A 23542-nucleotide genomic window follows, 5' to 3' on the forward strand; every position below is an offset into this window, starting at 1 on the left:
CTTTTCATACATAGAAGAGAACTTCCTGCCAAAGGAGACAACCCAAAGCCCCATCCATTGACTATTTTAAGCTCAAAATCTGAGATCCTTGGTTCATGCATAACCCTTTCCTTCAGGTCTGAATATGACCTTATGTTTTCATGGCTTAAGAACAGGTAGCTATATGTGTCATATGCACATACCCACTATACAACAATGAAGCCTTGCCAGGGTAGCCTCAGTAAAAGCTCCCATTCTGAAAAGGGAAGAATAAAAGAGACACAGCATCCACTGGTTAATAGCAGATTTAAAATACAGTGGACACACATGGGGAAAGCCTCCTCTACTGTGGAGTACAGAAAATTTCTGGATTAGATCCTGATTCTGCCCTTTGATAGTTTTCTCTTTAGTTTTTACCTTTGACTTCTAGAATGTTTTACTGTAATCATTTGATTTCTATGGCTACATCTGAAATGGCCATGGGGAATATGTCTTTTTTTTTTTTCCCTGAGGCTTCCCAGGTCTCAACCTGATTTGAGTTGATAAAGCTTGTAGTTGCCATCCCAGCCCATTTCCTGACTTTTTTTCTCATTTTATGGGAATGAGAGAGATATACTTTTATGAGTTTTATGCTACTGCTATTTAAAACTGCAGTTACAAACAGGTAAACCTAATGCAAACAAAATTAAATGTTTTCTGTTTGTTTGAGTTCATTTTTGTCTCATATTCTTTTCTTACAAAGTCCAGCTTTTGATATTGTTTTTGTTGTATTATATTTTCTTCATATACCTTGTTTCATTTTAAAATTTTTAATGCCAGTCTTTTAACTAGTAAGTTTAAACATTCACATTTATTGGAATAACTGTTGCATTTGGATTTTGCATCATATCTAGCATATTCTATGTATCCCCATTTTTCTACTCGTTTACCTCTTCTTTGCCTATCTCCCACTGCTAATCTGAACAGGACTGACTGAGATAAAAGCTGTGTCTCTGTCACTTCCATCAAAGGTCCTGGTCCATTCCCCTACAGTGACAAAAGATATTTCTCCCTCTCCTACTGGAGACACCCAATATCTCTTCTCCTTGTGAAAAGATTCCCTTCTTTTCTTTGCCTCACACCCTTTTGGCCTATCTTTTATTCCATCTATTGCTGCTGTAACCAGCTGCACACAGTAGTAATTTGGCAACAACTCACCTCATCTCCACTGCATAGCAAGTCTTCCCCGCCTTGGTGCTTTCATAAAACCAGGCAAGAGTTTATATGCACAGCTTGGGAAAGACGAGAGGCTTCTAAGTTCATGAGGCAACACCTAGCCCATGGGAGATACAAGTGCAGGTATAAATACCCCCACTTCTGTGCTTCAAGAGAAAATGATGGGTACATTCTATATGGCTCTTCTTAAGGGTCAATAGAAGTGAACTCTAGGTGCCCACAGCAAGAAAACATCTCGTATCAACTTTTTCTCCTTGCCTATTTCATTCTCCTAAGTCCTCCGCTCCTGTTACATGGAATCACTTCAAACAAACCAAAAAAAAAACAGAAACTACTGACTCATAAGCCCTTGTTTTAAGTGCTGCTCTGCTTTCAAGGGAGAACCCAAGCTAAGACAACATTCTTCATGTGAAATAACCTTCCAATCTTTACCTACCTTAATGAGGTTGTCTAGATATATTACATTTTTAAAGTATAATTCTTTCTTTAACTCTCAGAATCAAATGTAATACTCCAGGTTTCATTTTACCAGAAACACAATAGGATGCAACTTTTGTTTCTTGTAGTTTGGACACAACTTTGCTACTTTGTCAGCTATTAAAATTTACCTTAACATTCCCCAATATTTTTTAGAAGCTTCAAAATAAAATCTACCTCATCCTTTGCCTTTTTGTAATATAAGCCTTTTATTTTAGAATAGCTTATATTTATGTAAAATTGTGCTGGTAGTAAAGAGTTTTTACGTTAGCATACTACATTTATTGCAATGAGTGAATCAATAGTGCATGTTATTAACTAAAGTTCACACCCTACTTCGATGTCCTTGTTGTGTTCCAGAATCCCAAACAGGATACCATGTTATATTTAGTTGTAACGTCTCAGACTCCTCTGGCTATGACAGTTTCTCTTTGTTTTTGATAATCTTGAATGTTTGGAGAAGTATAGATAAAGTATTTTGTAGAATATCCCTCTATTGGGATTTGTCTGATGTTTTTCTCATGATTATATTGGGGTATGGATTTTAGGGAAGAAGAACACAGAAGTAAAGTACCTGCTATGGTTTGAATGTGTCCCACAAACGTTCATGTTGGGAACTTACTCCTCAATGCAACAGTGATGGGAGGTGGGGCCTAATAAAAGGTAATTGGTTCATGAGAATTCTGCCCTTATGAATTAATATCATTATCATGGGAGTGGATGGTGAGAGTAGGTTATTATATAGCAAGTAGGGCCTCTTGTGCCTGTTTCTCATGCTCTCTTCCACCTTCTGCCTTTCCCCATGGGATAACTCTCACAAGGTGCTGGTTCCACACTCCTGGTTTTCCTACTTTCCAGAACCCTGAGCCAAATAAACTTCTACTTTTAATAACCTGTTATAGCAATAGAGAATGGACTATGACAGTGCCATTCTCAGCTCATCATGTCAGGATACATACTAAGATTCTTATACTATATACTCTTTGGAAGAAAGTCACTGTGCATAGCTTGACTGAGGAGTTATGATACGCTTTTTGAGGGTGGAGTATCTACGTAAATGATTTGGGATTCTTCAATACAGGAGATTTCCCTTCTCTCTAGTTATTAATTAATTCAACCATTTATTTATAGCAGTATGAACTCATATATTTTATACATTAGGTTATAATCCAGCATTTATATTGTTGCTCAAATTTGTCCAGCTTTGGCCATTGGGAGCTCTTCCAGTTAGCTCCAGGTCTTTTTGACATATCCCCTTCCTAATAGTTTGAATTTTTTACTTTCTCATTATTATAACCAACTACTTCTTAACAGGAAAAGCCTATATTTCATATTAAGTTCTGTTCTCTTGGCTTTAGTTCATTATTCTAATATGCTGAAATGATTTGACTCTTCTTTCAATTTTTATTTATCTTTCCACATTTTGGTTCATCAGCAAATTTGATGTATCCTCTGTGTTTATATAAATACTCTAAACAAGACAGAAGCCCTGCGGTCTTCTGCTAAATACCCCCACCCTCTATCTCCCCTCCAGCCTGATCCTGAAGACTTAATTAGAACTTGTATGGTACCTTATTCACTCAGATAAAAGTGAATATTATCTTCTAGCTCACATTTTATCCTCTTATCCACAAGAACAAAAAAGAACAGGAAGTCTAATGGGAAAGTTTCATGTGGAGAATAATAATTATGAGGTAGTTCACTGTTCAGAAGTGAAAGGAGAATGTAGTTTAGTGGGAGGAGAGGCTCTGGAATTTTATCATTTTAAGGAAGGAAGCAGTTATCAGATTTGGAGGGCAAAACATACAGAATGAAAGATGAATTGAAGTAACCTCCAGTTCTCCACACAGACTGTGTGACATCGAACCAGAAGAGAAAGGGCACAAAAACGTTTCAGGGTCACATTAGTTTCCATGGTGGTAAGAAGGAGGAGTAGAAGAAAAGAATCATGCTTGGAAGTGGCAGATAACAAGAACACTGACCAGAGTAGATAGACGCATGTGTGTGCAGTTTAAAAATAAGTGAATACTGCCAGGCCTTCACATCCAAAAACCTCCAGTGACTTCAATTTTAGCTTCTACTTAACATGTTTTCTGATGCTTCTGAAGTAGCCACTGCATGGAGAGAAACAGTGCTTCTAAAAAGCAAACCCGTGCTCCTGGCTTAGACAGTCCATTGTTAAGAAGAAAGTGAGTTTGGGGGAATGCTTCTCAGAGAAAAGCCAACAAATTGAATTTGTAGCCTGAGATGATTCCAGAATAATTTCTGAGAATACATATTCAACCCTGATCATTTTTCAAGTGTGTTCCTTCAGTGCTGCCAACCATAGAACACCTATTACTTGCAAGACCTTGTGTTTGTCTTAATTCTCCTAACAACCCAATGGGATAGGTGTGATTATTTTCACTTACCAATATGGAACTGAGTGTCAGAAAGGTGCCTCATGTCTGGTGACAGCAGCAAGAACACTCAGGTTGTTCTGGGATTATGGCAGTTCTCTGGCTACCTCAAAGATGTTGAACAACTATTAACATAGGATGGAACACTTTGTCTCAGCAATGGGGGTATTTACCTCTCTGAATACAGAAAAATATAAAAATGAAATTTTGGACTTCATAACTCAGTTTCACTTCAGATATATTAGGTTTTGACAAAGTGGCTTTTTACTTTTATTGCTACCTGTGAATCTGACTCCATCATACTTTGTTATGCAGCTGAGCTTTTAGAAGTCATCGCTAGGTAAATATGTTATTCAGAGTCACAATCTTTTACCTGACCCCTCAAAAAAAAATTCCAACCTGGAACTTTTATCAAAAGAAGTGAGTTCAGAGGAGAGTGATACTAATTCCTGAAGCTGAGACTTAAAATTAACTGTTTTGCCAAAGGCAAGGTACATTTATTTAATCTTGAGCAGGCCAGAAAACTCCAAGTTCATTCTCCAGGCAGTATTTTTCTTCCTTTTTGCTCCTGCTTCCTCCATAAGCTATACTTATATCCTCACAGGTCTAGGTGATATTTCAATCTTTCATCAATAGCAGGCTGATTTATGGTTATTGAAAAAAGTTCATAGGCAGCGTATAACATCAGACCTTATTCCCAGTAAATTTTCTCAGAGGAAATTTTGTGTGTTGTTCCTCCTTGCACCTGCCAGAAAATATTTACCTGATCCGTAAAACTTTGAGGTCCTGACTGATTAACATGCTGGTAGAAACCTTGAGGAAATCACTGTTCCTGAAAGTTTTCATTAGCACATTCTTCTTGGAAGATAGCATTCTTCGGCCTGCAGTCTGATTATTCTCCAGTCTCAGCAGTCTCCTGGCATGGGGCCACTGTAAACTGGAACATCTTTTGTTTTCTCAACCTCAGTGAAAGTTGATGGGTTTAATTGTTATTACTTCTCTTAGAGAATGATCATATTTATTGACCGTTGATGCAGCTATGTATCCAACGCAATGATCTCAGGACAATTCTTTTAATCTATGCTAGCCTGTTAGCATAGCGCTCTTGAGTCCTAAATGATGACATCATAAATTCACCTTTCAAAGCAAGAATATGAAGGAAGGCAAAAAAGATATTAGGGATCTTGGAAATGTTAGTACAAACTAAATTAGACTCTCTAAGTATGAGAACAGGGGGCATTCATCTCTCCAGTCACCTCAGTTATATGTATGTCTCACCGTCTGAACACTGTTTAGAAATAAAGAAGAAATGTGAATATTGAAGCTCCTAACCCAAATAATGCCTGAAGTTAAGCGCTTGGGAATCTCTTCAGTAGTCCCTGGGCAGACCCAAGCTCTTCTACCTCTCTGAGGGGATTTGAGTAATTGGTTCCATTAAAAGCTGGAACCAATGATGATCAGCATTTTTCTGGTTCATGGTGCATGGTGTTATGTTTGGAGTCCTGTTCCTTGTCATCATCGTATTGCAGTGCAGAAGCCTAGCTATTGGTGGTTTGATTAGATTCAGCAATATTGTCCTGGAAGGTCCCGGAAGGATTTAAAACCAACTTCTAGAATTTGGAAATACGGATCCTGGTTTATTTCTCTCCTCCTTTATCGTCTGTAACTCACAATACTCCTTTTAAAATTCACTCCATTGTCCATAGCCCTAGGAAGATAATATCTTCTTTTTGTGCCTTTTTTAAGAGCTATCTTATGTTTATCATTGGTCAAAAGTTGCACCCTGTGATAATCTGACTACTGGGAAGAAACCCAGGACGTTTTTTAGCCTTTTGTAAGAAACTTGAGATCCTTGTCCCATGGTGAAGAACATGGGAATGGGGATGGGGACCAGAGTAGGGATTCCAAAGGAAGGGGATTCTCTTGCCCAGATTGCAGGGTCATAGATCTAGTAAGGAAGACTGTATCTCCTCCAGAGATTAGAAAAATCCGTTAGCCCTGAATTTCTCATTAACTAGGATATGTTTGTGTTCCGAGCTGGATAATGAACATGAACACACATACATCTGTCTGCTTTGGTGAACTTTTACAAGAAAGAAGATTAGTGTTCTACTAGTCTGTAAGTCTGGGCTTCTACTGTTGGACTGGGTATGAAATCAAGGTTTAGTATGTGCCATGTAGAAGTCTGAACCCCCAGTGGCTACTATCAACTGCTGCATGTCTTCAGAAAGGAGAGAGATATGGCAAGGGTGAGAAGCAAACACTAAGATAGCATCTTGACATTGTACAGCAATAGATGTCATTGCTAGGTTTTCCGGAACTTTTTTTTTAATAGGAAAGATAGGCATTTCACAGGTAGAAGAAAATGTCAATAAACACATTGAGTCAGGTTATTGAATTTTCAGAAACATGAAAATAGGCTGTTCATACAAAGGTACAAATTTGTGAATAACTTTCACTTTTATAGCCATATACATTTCCATATTGTCAATTTGGCTTTGTTATTTCCAAAAAATAAAGTTGGCCTATTTTTTTAAAATTTTCAAAGGACAGCCCCATTTTCATGTCTTAAAATAAGGATTATAGATTCACAGGAAATTGCAAAAATACTAGACATTCTTTAGCAAAGTCTGGAGCTAAAGCTGGCTCAAAGTGGTCAAGTTATAATGAAATCTTCTGGGCTTCCTTATGTACCTTTCACCCAATTTCCCCCAATGGTAACCTAAGTTATGTTACATAAGATTATAGCAAAACCAGAAAACTGACAGTGACACAATTCTCGTACTGTGTTCAGATCTTACCGTTTTTACCTGTACTCACTTGTGTGTGTGGGCACACCTGTCTATAGTTTTATGCACTTTTGTCATGTATAGATTCATAGCCACCACTACAAGATAGAGAACTAGTCCATCATGACATATCTCTCGTGTTACCTTTTATAGTCACATGTATCTCCCTCTACCCATCTCTAATCTGTACTTCAATCTCTATAATCTTGTCATTTTGAGAATATTATGTAAATAGAATCATATAACCTTTTGAGATTGCTTTTCTTCACTCACAATTGCCTTGAGGTCTATTCAAGCTGTAGTTTTTCTTTTTTATTGCTGAACAGTATTCCGTGGTATGGGTATACCAGTTTGTGTAACCATTCATCCATTGAAGGACATCTGGGTTCCCCCCAACCCCCAGTTTTTGGCTATTGCAAATCAAGCTGCTGTAAACATTTGTAAATAGGTGTTGGTGTAGAGATGAGTTTTCATTTCCTTGAGATGAATACCCAGGCGTGTAATTGCTGGATCATATGGTTGGTGTATGTTTAATTTTTTAAGAAACTGCCAAATATTTTCTAGAGTAGTTTCACAGTTCTACATTCTCACCAGGGGTGTATACGGGATCCTCTTTCTCTGCATCCTTGCCAACATTCGGTACTATCACTATTTTTCATTTTAGCTGCTTTAATGGTTAAATAGTCATCCTCACTTTTACTTTTTATTTTAGGTTTGGGGATACATGTGAAGGTTTGTTACACAGGTAAACATGTCATGTGTCACAGGGGTTTGTTGTACATAGCATTTCATCACCCAGGTATTAAGCCCAGTACCCATCTTTTCTGCTCCTCTTCCTCTCCCCTCATGTGGACCCCAGTGTGTTTCTTCTTCTTTGTGTTCCTATCGTGTAGCTCCCACTTATAAGTGAGAAAATGCAGTATTTGGCTTTCTGTTCTCGCATTAGTTTGCTAAGAACAATAGCCTCCAGCTTTATCCACATTCCCACAAAAGACATGATCTTATTCTTTATGGCTGCATACTATTCCATGGTGTATATGTACCACATTTTCTTGATCCAATTTGTCACTGATGGGCATTTAGGTTGATTTCATGTCTTTGCTATTATGAATAGTGCTGCAATGAATGTTCGTGTGCATGTGTCTTCATGGTAGAATGATTTATATTCATCCCCAATTTTAAATACCATAAAATATCATTTGTTTTCTTGCCATCAAAAACAGCTGCTCCAAGAGAAAAGGTAGGTTAGCTCCATGGACAATACATACAAGAACAATTGCATGGTTCATGTCCTGATTTGCATGCGATTCAATAACTTAGTTAAATCCTGTGAAGTTAAATGTCCAAGAATGATACAGGTATTAATGCAGCAAATTTTGACTGGGATAATTAAGTTTCTTATTAAATACATTTTTCTCTGGCAAAGTCAAAAAACTTGCCAATTACTACACTAATTGTATTGAGTTCAGAGGTGATTATACTGAAAAATCACTCTGGGGGCTATATAGAAATTTAACATACATCTTCTGACTTTAGTGTTTGCTTCTTTGGTTAATATTTGAACATTCCACTCTACCTTTTCTCAGTGTGTTTGAGAACACTAAAGTATAGAAGGGAGGGTTCTGTTCACTTCCCTATGGAGAGCTAATTATGTAGATTACACTCCCTGGATTCCAATTATTACAGATGACATCATCATTCTTTCACTTCCTGGGTCAAGGTAGAGTGGGGTACATTTGCCTAGATGCCAACATCTGTCCTCCTCCCAAATGGAACTCAAGGGGTCAGCTCCCCTTGTTGTGTAGCATTAGAAGTAAGAGGCATTATTTTTCCTGGTTCTGTTTTTCTGTTGCATCAGATCCCTGAGAACATGAGAGGCTTTGAATTCTATGCTGAAAAATTCCCCTCAAGTATATGAGGTCCAACTGAAATCCTTTGAGCCATATTTTAGCTTTTATGCATTTCAATTATGAGGAAGAGTCAGCTGAATAGCACGAATGCAACATAAGCCAGCCAGTTGGAAGAGAGTGGTGCCATAAATTTATGAAGAGAAAGAGCCTGTTGAGAAGAGGAAAGAAATGCAGATCTCAATCACTTTAATCTATCACCTATAAAAGTGTTTAGAAAAACTGTAAATCATAAATGCTTCCATTTATAATCACTCATTTGCAAGGAGGAAGAAAAAAATCAGAGAGGAATGTCTAGGGTAGAAAATCTCATGCTCTTCCTAATGTGTCACATGTGCAATGTAGGGTATTTAAAAGGCACCATCCTTTGAGGAAGAACATACAGAAACATTGCTTTTTCCAGAAACCATATTGGTGAAAGTGTTTTGATGGAAACCAGCCTTGGGAAATGTTTTCTTCTGGCTTTGTCAGCCTAATGGGAATGGTAAAGTTGTTTCCCCAAAAAAAAAAAAAATCTTTATAGAAATATGTTGCCTCCTGGTAAGTTTAAAGTTGTCTTTTTAGGCACAGGTCAGGAAGTTATCTCAGATTCATAGTGGTGTGTGGCGTGTTCTTTCTACCCAACTTTTATCAAAGAACAAAGTTCAGAGGGCATCAGAGTTACAATTCAAACAGTCTCAGAGGAAGACAAAACAAGGCTATCTTTAATAAATAAAAACAATGGAAAAGGAATCCCAATGGCTAATGTTTATCTTGCTTCTAAGATTCCTTATGAAATAGTGGAAGAATTCTTAGGACTCATTTTTTCTTCTCTTCTCCCAGGCAATTATCAAGACTTCATTTTGTATCAGCCCAGGATCTCTTCCCTCTCTTATTGACACATCATCTGTTAGTATTTCACAATTTTTTCTAGATTCATACAGAATAGGTTTGGTCTTGAGCCCTATTTTGCTCTTGCTATCATTTGTCTCATTCTGGGGCCTCTACTATTTAAAGCCTTATATTATATGCTGATAACTTGTGATCATTTGAATAACAATATAGCCAGAGTCCCTAAATTTCATTCATCATGTCTTGAGAGAAAACTGTTACTCCTATCTCTACTTCCAGAGCAGGGATTATCCCCAAATCATGTGACTTCCTAATAACCACTAAAATTGAAGATTTTAATCACTTAGTTGCTAAATATTCTTAGTCACTAGACTTGTCCTCTAATAAACTTAGACTGATACATGAAGAATCTTCCCCTGACATAATTTGATGGTCAGATGCAAAGGCCCTAGTCAGTATCTATGCTTTCCGCTTCCCCAGACTCTAAGCACTGAATTGCACTTGTTCTCTATACCCTCTATACCATCTTTTCTAGGTTTGTGCTGAAATGTTTAAAAAACTGTTTCAGAGTATATTACTGAAGGAGTGGATTTATGTGTCTCAAAAAATAGCAGTAATAGCATCTCACTCTGTCGTCCAGGCTGGAGTGTAGTGGCAAAATCTCGGCTCACTGCCTCTCTGGCCTCAGCCTCCTGATTCACTGGGACTACAGGCACGTGCCACCACACCCAGCTAATTTGTCATATTTTATTTTTAGTAGAGACAGGCTTTCACCATGTTGGTCTCAAACTCCTGACCTCAAGTGATCACCCACGTCAGCCTCCCAAAGTATGAAGGAGTGGATTTAGATACTCAGTTCTCCATTATGTCCAGATCAATCCTTCCTTATTCCTTCTCCACCTGTTGGCCACTGCTTGGCTATTCTATTTTGCACCAGTCTATTTTCTTGTTTCAGCCTAGACCCAAGGGACCATCCCTTCAATGTTTTTCCTGTAAATCTGCACTGCCATTTCCAACTCTGGGTCAATTCAACCACCCGCCATCTCTGACTTACATATCTGGACTATTGAACCCTGTTGGTGCAAATTCACAAAGTCAAAGGCACCAGAATGTACTTTCTGAACTCTGGCTGTACATTAGAACTAACTAACTGAGGAGCTTCGGGAAAAAAAATATATGTATATCTATATATAGATATCTATAGATCTATATATAGAGAAAGATATATTTCTTCCCAGAACAATTAAATCAGCATCTTTCAGGGGAGAAACTGGGAACGTGTATTCTTGCAAAGTTCCTAAGTGATTCTATTATGAAGGAGGGATTGAGAATCTGAAATTACACATCTGTGGTTGCCAGTGTCAGCCGGGTCCTTATTTTCATTTCCTTCTCCTCTGTTCTATTCTTTTAGCTGTTGACCTTGACTTTCACCTCCTTTAAATAATTGCCATTGGGCAGAAATTCCAGCTTCTCCTTGCTTTCATCCAGACCCTACCGGCCTACATCTGTTTCATCCCTAATCTTTACCTTTCAAATAAAGCAACAGAAAAATATTTTTTCATTTTAATCTCCCATCCTCACCCATCTTCTATATCTATCCTTGAAGTTCTTTCCCATTAATATTTAAATATTGCTTTGTGCAGTGGCTCACACCTGTAATTGCAGCACTTTAAAAGGCCAAGGTGAATCACTTGAGTCCAGATGTTCTAGGCCAGCCTGGGCAACATAGCAAGACTCCACCTCTAGCTGGGCATGGTGGCACATGCCTATAGTCCAAGCTACTTGGGAGGCTGAAATGGAAGGACTTCTGGAGTCCAAGACTGCAGGGAGCTATGATCACATCACTGCACACCAGCCTGTATGATAGAGTGAGATCCGGTTTCTAATTAAAACAAAAGAAAACATTTAAACCTGCTCAAATTGTTGCCACCTTTAAAATAGTGTCTCACCTATGCCTTGGCCTCTTCCTTTATAAAATTGATTAAACAGCAATCTAAGCTTTCTCCATTTTATCACATTATATTTACTTTTCAAACTACTGAAAATCTAGTTTCCACCCATCTGTATGATTATTCTCACTGTGCCAATGATTAACTATTTGTTATTAAATCCAAAGGATGTTTTCTAGGCTTATCTTTTTTGAACTCTTGATAGCATTCGATTCTGCTCATTCATCAGGTTTCTTATTTTCTCTTTTCCATGGGCTTCTTGACACATTTTCCTTCATGGATCCTTCTGCCCTGGTCCTTGATTCTCTCCTTTTTTTTTTTCTTTTTTCAACACATTTTTCCTTTGTAAGTTAATTAAATCCCATGGCTCCAATTACTACTTACATGTGAATGACTCCCAAGTCACACGTGCGTCTCAGAATTCTCCCCTGAGCTCATGAAAAGCTCCATTTGGTCAAGAGCATAGTAGCTAAGAATTTGAGCCCTCCAAAGTCTACGCTTTCTCTATTACCTATCTAAGCAAATGGCTGGCCCCTATCTAGCTGCAGAAGCCAGAAACAGTCATGTGATTCCACCTCTTAATGTCCCCAGAATCCAATCCCTATGTTGTATTTCTACTACCATAGTTTAGGCTCCCCTCATTCCTTGCCTAGCTTACGGGTAGAGGAGCATAGTGGACTTCTTACTTCAGTCTGGCCCCTATCTAATGTTTTCTATATACTCCATCTCTTTTCTGTCTGTCCTTGGACTTGAAGATGTTCATTTGGGTCTTTCAAGGTAGAAATCAAAGGGGGTAAAAAAACAAAAGGATACATCAAGAGAGCGTTTGAAGTGAAGATCCATGAGTCTTACCTAGATAGCAGAAGAAATGGAAACAAAAAGGTCATAGACACATCGGAAGAACGGGAAAAGATCAGTGTAATAGAGATCATGACACTGAAGAACAGGTAAAGGAGTGAAGGAGACAGATGGGAGAGGAAGAAAATGAAGTGCTTTTTCACTTTTCAGATAAATTTGATCCGTCCTTTTGCTAAAGCATCCCTAGATAGAGTTTTTAAAACATGCCAACATAAACCTGCAAAGGAAGTAGATAATGAAGTCTGTAGAGAGAGGCCTTGGTATTAAGTAGGTCAGTGTTTATGGTATGGAAACCAGGACCAGTGGGAGGAAACTGGATCCTTTCACACTACACTATGTCAAGTACAGATTAAATAGAAAAAAATCCACATTGTTTTCCAAAATACAGTTTTATATTCCTCCTGGGAATATATTTATGGAGAGACAATCCTTAAACTTCTGGAGAGCTTTTGCCTTTCAGAAAAATTTAGGTAGGTGAAAGAGTAATTGGAGTCTTCAATCTTTAAGCCCGTGAGTAAAGTTGTAAAAAGTCATGACAAGTTATTTAGCACAAAATTGAAAATTCAATCATATCTGCAAGATCCATCACAACTGGGGTTGCCTTACCTTTCCAGCTTCATCTCTTACTCTGTCCCTTTGCTGTCTCAAATGCAGTAAGATGGAAGTACTTTTAATTCACTAAGCATTACCATGTTTTCTCATTCATCTTTATGTTTTTGTCACTCTCTTGACTTGAAGTCATAGCCTCTGTGCAAGCTCCTCTACCAGGAAAGTGTTAGAAACATAATAACTGCTGACTAAATGCTTTTGAAATAAAAGACAAAGTTTTGAGTAGAAAAGCTATGCACAGAAAGGAGCCGTTTGCATGGTGATTTTTAAAAATCAGTGAACAGATTTTGTTTTAACCAAAATAAAATAATGAGACTATTGAAGGGTTTCTACAGCCTTAGATTTGCAGGCATTAGGCTACTGGGAAAGCCCAGGGCTGTGATGGTGCAGATGGGGGTAAATATAAGACAGTATAAAGAGAAAACTGCACATCCAGATATGACCTTGATGGTGTCCAATCGTCTGGGTCTGCAGTTTTTTCTTTATATCAGGAGGCTAGGTTCCATCACAAGTTAATGTCTATCAGGTTCATCATCTGAACAGAGATTCTACATCATGCTTAATCTTAAGTTTCTCCTATTCTATAAAGACTGCAGATACACATGGAATACTCCATTGCAAAATCCCATTTACTAAGGTATAGTTGTAGGTGAGGAGATGTGGAATTTCTGGGTCACAGGTTTTGTAAGTAATGCCAAACAGTCTTAAACACTGCACTAGTTCACATTGCCGCCTGCAGCTTATGAGAGTTTCACTTAACATCCTTATCTGCATTTGTTATTTCTGCCTGAATAACTACCTTTGGTATTTTCATTATTGCTTGTTTACCAGTAATGAATTGCCTCATTTTTGTTCCACTGAAGTATGTTTATTTCATTTTCTTTCTTTTTAAAAGAACTGTCTCTGTAATCCCAGCACTTTGGGAGGCAGGTGGGTCATCTGATGTCAGGAGTTCGAGACCAGCCTGACCAACATGGTGAAACCCTGTCTTTACTAAAAATACAAAAATTAGCTGAGTGTAGTGGCACACACCTGTCATCCCAGCTACTTAGGAGGCCGTGACAGGAGAATCGCTGGAGGTTGCAGTGAGCTGAGATCGCACCATTGCACTCCAGCCTGGGCAACAGAGCAAGACTCCATCTCGCTTGGGGGTGACTATACTGAAACTATACCTGGCATCCAGTTCTTACATCAGGTCAATAAAATTAAGATCGCCCACTCTTTCCCCTTAAATAAGACATCTAGATGGACTAATGACTACCACCCTATTAACCAGTCACAGGAGCACTGTCACGCATTTGGTATTTTTAACTGTAGGGGATGCCATCACTCAACATCGCGGAAGGCCTAGTCCCTGCTGAATCCACTGTAGACGAACTCGGATTTGATTCCTGCCAAATCAATTGTAGAAGCTGAGCTTTTATTGAATATTCTGGGCTGACACAGTAACCATACAGTGTTAATTAATTCATGCTTGAAGGACATAACAATCAGTAGACCTGCACGTATGCTCACTTTCAAGAACTATTTCCGATTAGATCCGCAACCCCCACCCCCATCTCTGAATTTACCATCAACCTAGGTAAATGTACCCTTGCCAAACCTCAAAAACAAGACTAAAATGCAACCCAGTTGGAGCCCAGAAATCACATTTTAACCATGAATACAACAGCTACCACTCAATTGATGTAATTTTTCTAAAAATCGTAAGACCCTCCCACTAAATTAATACTGCATTTTGTATAACTCAATTTCCACCCTAATACTAATATAATACCTTGAGCATCTCCCTCTGAAAGCACTGCCCCATATATCATATCCTAAATAAATTATACTCTAATTATAAGTAATCCTCTCAGCCAAAGCTCTGCCAATTCAACTTTAAAGACCCTGAATTTCCAAAACTGTAAACGACTATTTATATGTATTTCTTTCTGTCTTATACTTCAACTTTATACTTAAGTATTTATGTAGCTAATGTAGCTTAATTATTCAAAGCAAGACACTGAAAATATCTAGATGGGTCTGCACAACCCCATAAACAGATAGGTTTGGCCCTGACCTTTTTATTAGCTCTTAGTAAGATTACACATGCAAGCATCCCTGCCCCAGCGAAAATGCCCTCAGAGCAGGTATCAAGCATGAATACAGCTCAAAACACTTTGCCCAACTACACCCCCACAGGAACAGAAGTGATAAATCTTTATTAATAATAATCGAAAGTTTAACTAAGCTATACTAATAGTTAGGGTTGGTCAATTTCGTGCCAGCCACCACACGATTAACCCGAGCTAATGGAACTCAGCGTAAAGAGTGTTTAAGGTCTGCCCTCAATAAAGTTAAAGCCCATCTAAGTTGTAAAAAACTCCAGCTGAAATAAAATGTACTACAAAAGTAGCTTTAATACCCTGAAGACACAATAGCTAAGACCCAAACTGGGATTAGATACCCCACTAGAGTTACATTAACAAAACCATTTGCCTGAGCAACAGCTTAAAACTCAAAGGACTTGGCAGTGCTTTATATCCCTCTAGAGGAGCCTGTTCTATAATCAATGAACCCTGATACACCTCACCGCCTCTTGCCCCCAGCCTATATAGGGCCATCTTCAGCAAACCCTAAAAAGTTTATTGAGTAAGCACAAGTACACACATAAAAATGTTAGGTCAAGGTGTAGCCCATGAGATGGCAAGAAATGGGATACATTTTCTATGTCCAGAAAATCTCACGACAACCTTTATGAAATCTAAGGACTCAGGAAGATTTAGCAATAAACCAAGAGCAGAGTGCTTGGTTGAATAAGGCTATGAAGCATGCACACACCACCCGTCACCCTCCTCAAATATCCCTCTAGAAATCACTATTACTAATAATTTTCTATGCATGTATAAAGGAGATAAGTCATAACATGGTAAGTGTACTGGAAAGTAGCCTTGGACAAACCAAAGTGTAGCTTAACCCAAGGTATCTGGCTTACACCTGGAGGATTCCATCATGACCTGATCACTTTAAGCCAACTCTAGCCCCAAACCTCGCTAAAAATTTTATCAAACTATCTTAATCAAACCATTTACCTTAGACAAAAGTATAGGCAATAGAAATTTTTACCCTGGCACGATAGACATAGTACCGTAAGGGAAAGATGAAAGAACTATATCAAGCATTAAAAAGCAAAGCAAAACCCTTATACCTTCTGCATAATGTATTAACTAGAAATAACTTTACACAGAGAACTACGGCCAAGTGTCCCAAAACCAGATGAACCACCCAAGAACAGCTGAAAGAGCAGACTCACCTATGTGGCAAAATAGTAAGAAGATTGATAAGTAGTGGTGATAGCTGGTTGTCCAAGATGGAATTTTAGTTCAACTTTAAATTTACCCACAGAATTACTTAATCTTCCTGTATGTTTAACTGAGTCTAAAAACAGGGACAGCTCTTTAGACATTAGGAAACAACCTTCCTACAGAGAGTAAAAAATATTACCACCATCGTTGGCCCAAAAGCAGCCACCAATTAAGAAAGTGTTTAAGCTCAACATCTAACTATCTTAAATTCTAATCACGCTACTGAACCCCTAACATCACATTGGTCTAATCTATTACTTAATAGAAGCAATAATGTTAACATAAGTAATATGAAGATATTCTCCATTGTATAAGCTTACATCAGACTGGAATAATCCACTTACAGTTAGCAGCATAACATTAATAAACAATATAATAAGCACCCTATTGTTTACACTGTTAACCAACACAGGTATGCTCTAAGGAAAAATTACAAAAAGTAAAAGGAACTTGGCAAATCTTGTCCCGCCTATTTACCAAAAACATCACCTCTAGCATTACCAGTATTAGAGGCACTGCCTGTCCAGTGACATATGTTCGATGGCCGCAGTATCCTGACTGTGCAAAGGTAGCATAATCACTTGTTCCCTAAATAGGGACTTATATGAATGGCCACATGAGGGTTCAGCTGTCTCTTACTTTTAATCAGTGAAATTGACGTATCCATGAAAAGGCAGATATAAACAAATAAGACGAGAAGACCCTATGGAACTTTAGTTCATTAATACAAGTAAAACTCAAGCCTACAGGCCCTAGCCTACTCCCCCTGCATTAAAAATTTTGGTTGAGGTGACCTCAGGGCATAATCCAACCTCTGAACAACCTAAACTAAGACCGCACTACTCTAAGTGAATACACATTGACCCAATAATTTGATCAATGGAATAAGTTATGCTAGGGATAACAGTGCAATCCTATTCTAGAGTCCATAGCGACAATAGGGATGACTACCTCGATGCTGAATCAGGACATCTTAATGCTGGAGCCGCTATTAAGAGTTTGTTTGTTCAACGATTAAAGTCCTACGTGATCTGAATTCAGACCAGAATAATCCAGGTCAGTTCCTATCTATTTAACATTTCTCCTAGTATGAAACAAGAGAAATAGGGCTCACTTAATAAAGCACCCTCGCTCCATAGATGATCCTATCTCAATCCAACAAATCATCACACACCCTACCCAAGAACAGGGCTTAAGATGGCAGAGGCCGGAAATTGCATAAAACTTTATAATCAGAGGTTCAACTCCTCTTCTTAACAATATGCCTATAATTAACCTTTTCCTACTCATTATCCCCACTCTTATTGCTATAGCATTCCTTATATTCATTGGATAAAAAATCTTAGGCTATATACAACTATGCAAAGGACCTAACATTGTAGGTCCCTATGGGCTGCTTCAACCAGTCGTTGATGCAATAAAACTTTTCACCAAAGAACCCTTAAGGCCCTCAATATCTACTATTACCCTCTATATTACTGCTCCAATCCTAGCCCTTTCTATTGCTCTCGTCTTATGAACTTCCCTCCCTATACCAGACCCTCTAATTAATTTCAATATAGGCCTCCTATTTATACTAGCCACATCAAGCCTGGCTGTCTACTCTGTGATCAGGATGAGCATCTAATTCAAAATATTCACTAATCGACACATTGTGAGCTGTGGCCCAGACAATTTCATACAAGGTCACCCTAGCCATTATCCTATCAGTTCTACTGATAAGTACATGTAAGTTAAATGAGCCAGTTATCACAGTGCAAGAATTCCTCTGACTGGTCTTGCTATCATGGCCTCTAACCATAATACGATTTATCTCCATACTAGCGAAACTAACCGAGCGCTTTTTGATCTAACAGAGGAGGAGTCAGAGTTAGTCTCAGGCTTCAACATCGAATATGCCACAGGCTCATTTGCCCTCTTCTTTATAGCAGAATACATGACTGTTATCATAATAAATGTCCTAACTACTACTGTCTTCCTAGGAGCACTACACACTATATATTCACGAGAACTCTATGCCACAAATTTCATTTCCTACAGCCTTCTTTTAACCACCCTATTTTTATGAATTTGAACAGCATACCCTTGATTCCGTTATGACCAGCTCCTGTATCTTCTATAAAAAAATTTCCCACCACTTAAGCTAGCATTCTGCATATGATATATCTCAATGCCGGTCGTAATTTCCAGCATGCCACCCCAAACATAGGAAATATGTCTGACAAAATAATTACTTTGATAGAGTAAACAATACAGGTTAAAATCTCTCATTTCTAGAACTACAATAGAGGTTAAAATCCTCTTATTTCTAGAACTATAAGAATTGAACCTACCCCTGAGAATCCAAAATTATCTGTGCTACCTATTACACTATGTACTAGAGTAAGGTCAGCTAAATAAGCTGTTGGGCCCATACCCCAAAAATGTTGGTTACACCCTTCCCATGGCAATTAATCCCTTAGCTCAACTTGTTATTTCCCTGTTTTCACAGGAACTCTTATCACAATGCTAGGCTCACACTGATTTCTCGTCTGAACAGGCCTAGAAATAAACATGCTCGCCCTTACCCCAATCTTAATTAAAAAAAAAAATCCCCGCTCTACAGAAGCAGCCACCAAATATTTCCTTACACAAGCACCACATCTATAATTCTCATGATAGGTATCCTTTCCAATAACCTGTCCTCTGGACAATGAACAATAAACACTATTAATCAGTTTTCATCCTTAATAATAATAGTGGCCCTAGTAATAAAACTAGGAATAGCCCCCTTTCACTTCTGAGTCCCACAGTTAACCCAAGAAACCTCTCTAATTTCTGGCATACTTCTCCTCACATGACAAAAACTAGCCCCTATCTCGATTATGTTTCTAATTTTCCCATCAACAAACACGAACATCCTCCTGTCTATCACAATCCTATCCATTATAGTAAGCGGTTAAGAAGGGCTTAACCAAACAACTGCATAAAATCTTAGACTACTCTTCAATCACTCACATAGGTTGAATAATAGTACTAATCTATAACCCAAACATTACCATTCTAAACCTGATTTTTTTTAACTTTTAACTTGCTTTAATAATTGGATTCAATTAATATCAGTATTATTGTGTATAGTAAATCCTTAACATTGTTGATAGTTTTTTAGAAACCGATTTTAAGCAAAATGAAACAAAAGAAAACCCATTTTACCCTAGGCTAATTGATATCAGCAAGAGTTAAGTTCCTACAGCATATTTCTGGTCACAAAAACATCACCAAACTTCTGAATAAAGACCAAACACTTCTAATATTTAACACTGAAATAAATATGAGCTATATGTACATTGAAGAAAAACCAATAAAAATCACTTCTCAGCGTTTTAGCTAAGATCAAGTGAAGAAAGATCAATAAAAACAAGATAATTATTTACCAACTTTTTTCAGTTACAGTTCGAGGTGAGATCTGCATGATGACACAAAGCCAAACTGTATCAAGATCCTTAGATAACGTCCTTTCATTCAAGGTCATTTCCTTATAAAGTTGATGAGGAAGAAACCTGCCTAGGGCCATTATATGTATAGGGTCTGCATGATCTCACCATGTTTCTGTCGGTTTTCTCTAGGTACTCTGGTTTCTACCTACATCCCAAAAATATGCACGTTTGGTGAACTGGCTGTCTACACAGTCCCACTGTGAGAATGAGTGAGAGTGTGTGTGTGTGTGTGTGTGTGTGTGTGTGTGAATGTGCCTCAGAGTAGAATGTATCCTGTCCTGAGTCATTTCCCTCTTTGTCCCCTGAGCTGCCCAGAGAAGCTCGAACTGGCCATCACCCTAAACGTGATTATTTACCTTATCTTAACCACATTTCTAGCACTCAACCTTACAAGCACAACCCTGTCACTATCTCACGACTGAAACAAATTAACATGGTTGACACCTGTAATTCCACTAATTCTATCCCTAGGAGGTTTACCTCCATTAACAGGGTTCCTGCCTAAATGAATCATCATCCAAGAATTTACAAAAAACAATAGCCTTATTACCCCAACCATTATAGCTATCATAACCCTACTCAACCTGTACTTTTACATATGCCTAATTTATTCCATCTCGGTGACGCTATTCCCCACATCTGGTAATATGAAAATGACAATTCAAAAACAAAACCCATACTATTCTTCCCACTACGTATTATTTCTTCTACCCTCCTCCTACCTATGTCTCCATTAATACTAACTATAACTAAGAAATTAAGGTTACATAAGACCAAGGGCCTTCAAAGCCCTTAGTAAGTAAATTACACTTAATTTCTGTAACAGCCCTAAGTACTGCAAGACTCTATTCTGCATCAATTGAACGCAAGTGAACTACTTTAAGCTAACCCTTTGCTAGATTGATGGAAGTTAAACCCATGAAAATTTAGTTAACAGCTAAACACCCTAATTAACTGGCTGCCCAAGGGAATGCTTTCTAACTCCCCTGCTTCAGAGCACTGAAGAGAACAGCACCCCAGTTTTGAAGCTGCTGAAAACAGAGGCAAGCAGCATATTAGAGCTGCAGTTTCACAGGGAGATGCCAGGAGGAAGATACCAGAAAAGATCTGAGATGATTGGTGAAGGCCTTTCCCTGCACAAAGCCAGTACACAAAGACTAAGAGAGGTGGTGGTTTTTTCAAATGCCCAAACTTCAACCATACATACTTCTTCTCACAAGGTATAATAATAAGAAACTGGGAAACATGGTCCAAATGTGTAAAACAAAACAAAACAATAAATCTCCAGAAATCAACATTAAGAAATGTAGATCTAGGAGCTGTCTAACAAAGAACTTAAAATAACTATCATTAAGATGTTCACAGAAACAATGCCGCATATCTACAACTATCTGATCTTTGACAAACCTGACAAAAACAAGAAATGGGGAAAGGATTTCCTATTTAATAAATGATGCTGGGAAAACTGGCTAGCCATATGGAGAAAGCTGAAACTGGATCCCTTCCTTACACCTTATACAAAAATTAATTCAAGATGGATTAAAGACTTACATGTTAGACCTAAAACCATAAAAACCCTAGAAGAAAACCTAGGCGATACCATTCATTACCTAGGCGTGGGCAAGGACTTCATGGCTAAAACACCAAAAGCAATGGCAACAAAAGCTAAAATTGACAAATGGGATCTAATTAAACTAAAGAGCTTCTGCACAGCAAAAGAAACTACCATCAGAGTGAACAGGCAACCTAAAGAATGGGAGAAAATTTTTGCAATCTACTCATCTGACAAAGAGCTAATATCCAGAATCTACAATGAACTCAAACAAATTTACAAGAGAAAAACAACCCCATCAAAAAGTGGGTGAAGGATATGAACAGACACTTCTCAAAAGAAGACATTTATGCAGCCAAAAGACACATGAAAAAATGCTCATCATCACTGGCCATCAGAGAAATGCAAATCAAAACCACAATGAGATACCATCTCACACCAGTTAGAATGGCAATCATTAAAAAGTCAAGAAGCAACAGGTGCTGGAGAGGATGTGAAGAAATAGGAATGCTTTTACATTGTTGGTGGGACTATAAACTAGTTCAACCATTGTGGAAGTCAGTGTGGCAATTCCTCAGGGATCTAGAACTAGAAATACCATTTGACCCAGCAATCCCATTACTGGGTATATACCCAAAGGATTATAAAACATGCTGCTATAAAGACACATGCACACGTATGTTTATTGCGGCACTATTCACAATAGCAAAGACTTGGAACCATCCCAAATGTCCAACAATGATAGACTGGATTAAGAAAATGTGGCACATATACACCATGGAATACTATGCAGCCATAAAAAAGCAGTGGAAAGTATAATGGTGGTGACAAGGACAAGACTAAGGGAGAAAGGAAGTTTGCTGTTTAATGGGTATACAGTTTCAGATTTGCAAGATGAAAAAAATTTGGAGATCTCTTTTAAAACAATAAAGATACTAAGCATTATTAAGCTGTACACTTAAAAATAGTTAAGATGGTAAACTTTATTATGGGTTTTTTAACCACAAAAAGTTACATATGTTCGATGCTATTCATTACTGTTGCTTTATAGAAAATGTTGGAAAGGTATCCCATGAGTCCTCCAGTTTTGTACTCTTTTTTAAATTATACCTTTATTCTGATATAATTGTATATTTGCACGCAGTGGTAAGAAACAATACAAAGAGATTCTGTGTATCCTTTACAGTTTCCCCCAATGGTAGCATCTAGCAAAACTGTAGTGCAATATCACGAGCAGGATATTTTCATTAATTCTGTGAAGATACAGAACATTTCCATTACCACAAGGATCCTTCTTGTTACCCTGTTGGTTTTGTTTTGTTTTGTTTTGTTTTTAATTTTTATTTTATTATTATACTTTAAGTTTTAGGGTACATGTGCACAATGTGCAGGTTAGTTACATATGTATACATGTGCCATGCTGGTGTGCTGCACCCATTAACTCGTCATTTAGCATTAGGTATATCTCCTAATCCTATCCCTCCCCCCTCCCCCCACCCCACAACAGTCCCCAGAGTGTGATGTTCCCCTTCCTGTGTCCATGTGTTCTCATAGTTCAATTCCCACCTATCAGTGAGAACATGTGGTGTTTGGTTTTTTTGTCCTTGCGATAGTTTACTGAGAATGATGATTTCCAATTTCATCCATGTCCCTACAAAGGACATGAACTCATCATTTTTTATGGCTGCATAGTATTCCATGGTGTATATGTGCCACATTTTCTTAATCCAGTCTATCATTGTTGGACATTTGAGTTGGTTCCAAGTCTTTGCTATTGTGAATAGTGCCACAGTAAACATACGTGTGCATGTGTCTTTATAGCAGCATGATTTATAGTCCTTTGGGTATATACCCAGTAATGGGATGGCTGGGTCAAATGGTATTTCTAGTTCTAGATCCCTGAGGAATCGCCACACTGACTTCCACAATGGTTGAACTAGTTTACAGTCCCACCAACAGTGTAAAAGTGTTCCTGTTTCTCCACATCCTCTCCAGCACCTGTTGTTTCCTGACTTTTTAATGATTGCCATTCTAACTGGTGTGAGATGGTATCTCATTGTGGTTTTGATTTGCATTTCTCTGATGGCCAGTGACGGTGAGCATTTTTTCATGTGTTTTTTGGCTGCATAAATGTCTTCTTTTGAGAAGTGTCTG

General features: G+C 38.1%; 1 long non-coding RNA gene and 3 pseudogenes across 9 annotated transcripts in view, besides 1 other annotated feature; 3 read left to right on the forward strand and 1 right to left on the reverse strand.

Annotated features, from left to right (window-relative positions):
• LOC105379362 (uncharacterized) overlaps positions 1-23542 on the forward strand; it is a 122073-nt gene that overhangs the window by 68483 nt on the left and 30048 nt on the right. The gene's annotated exons all lie outside the window — the stretch shown is intronic.
• Positions 4718-5328: an enhancer, noted in NCBI's record as "OCT4-NANOG hESC enhancer chr8:32858695-32859305 (GRCh37/hg19 assembly coordinates)". NCBI's record gives its function as "activates a minimal SCP1, AML or CMV promoter by ChIP-STARR-seq in primed H9 embryonic stem cells {active_cell/tissue: H9 hESC(primed)}" and the evidence as "EXISTENCE:reporter gene assay evidence [ECO:0000049][PMID:30033119]".
• MTND1P6 (MT-ND1 pseudogene 6) lies at positions 17622-18566 on the forward strand (annotated as a pseudogene).
• Positions 18669-18740, reverse strand: NMTRQ-TTG11-1 (nuclear-encoded mitochondrial tRNA-Gln (TTG) 11-1; annotated as a pseudogene).
• On the forward strand, positions 18810-20584 carry MTND2P32 (MT-ND2 pseudogene 32; annotated as a pseudogene).

The sequence above is a fragment of the Homo sapiens genome, chromosome 8 (assembly GCF_000001405.40).
Source record: "Homo sapiens chromosome 8, GRCh38.p14 Primary Assembly".
Lineage (NCBI taxonomy): Eukaryota > Metazoa > Chordata > Mammalia > Primates > Hominidae > Homo > Homo sapiens.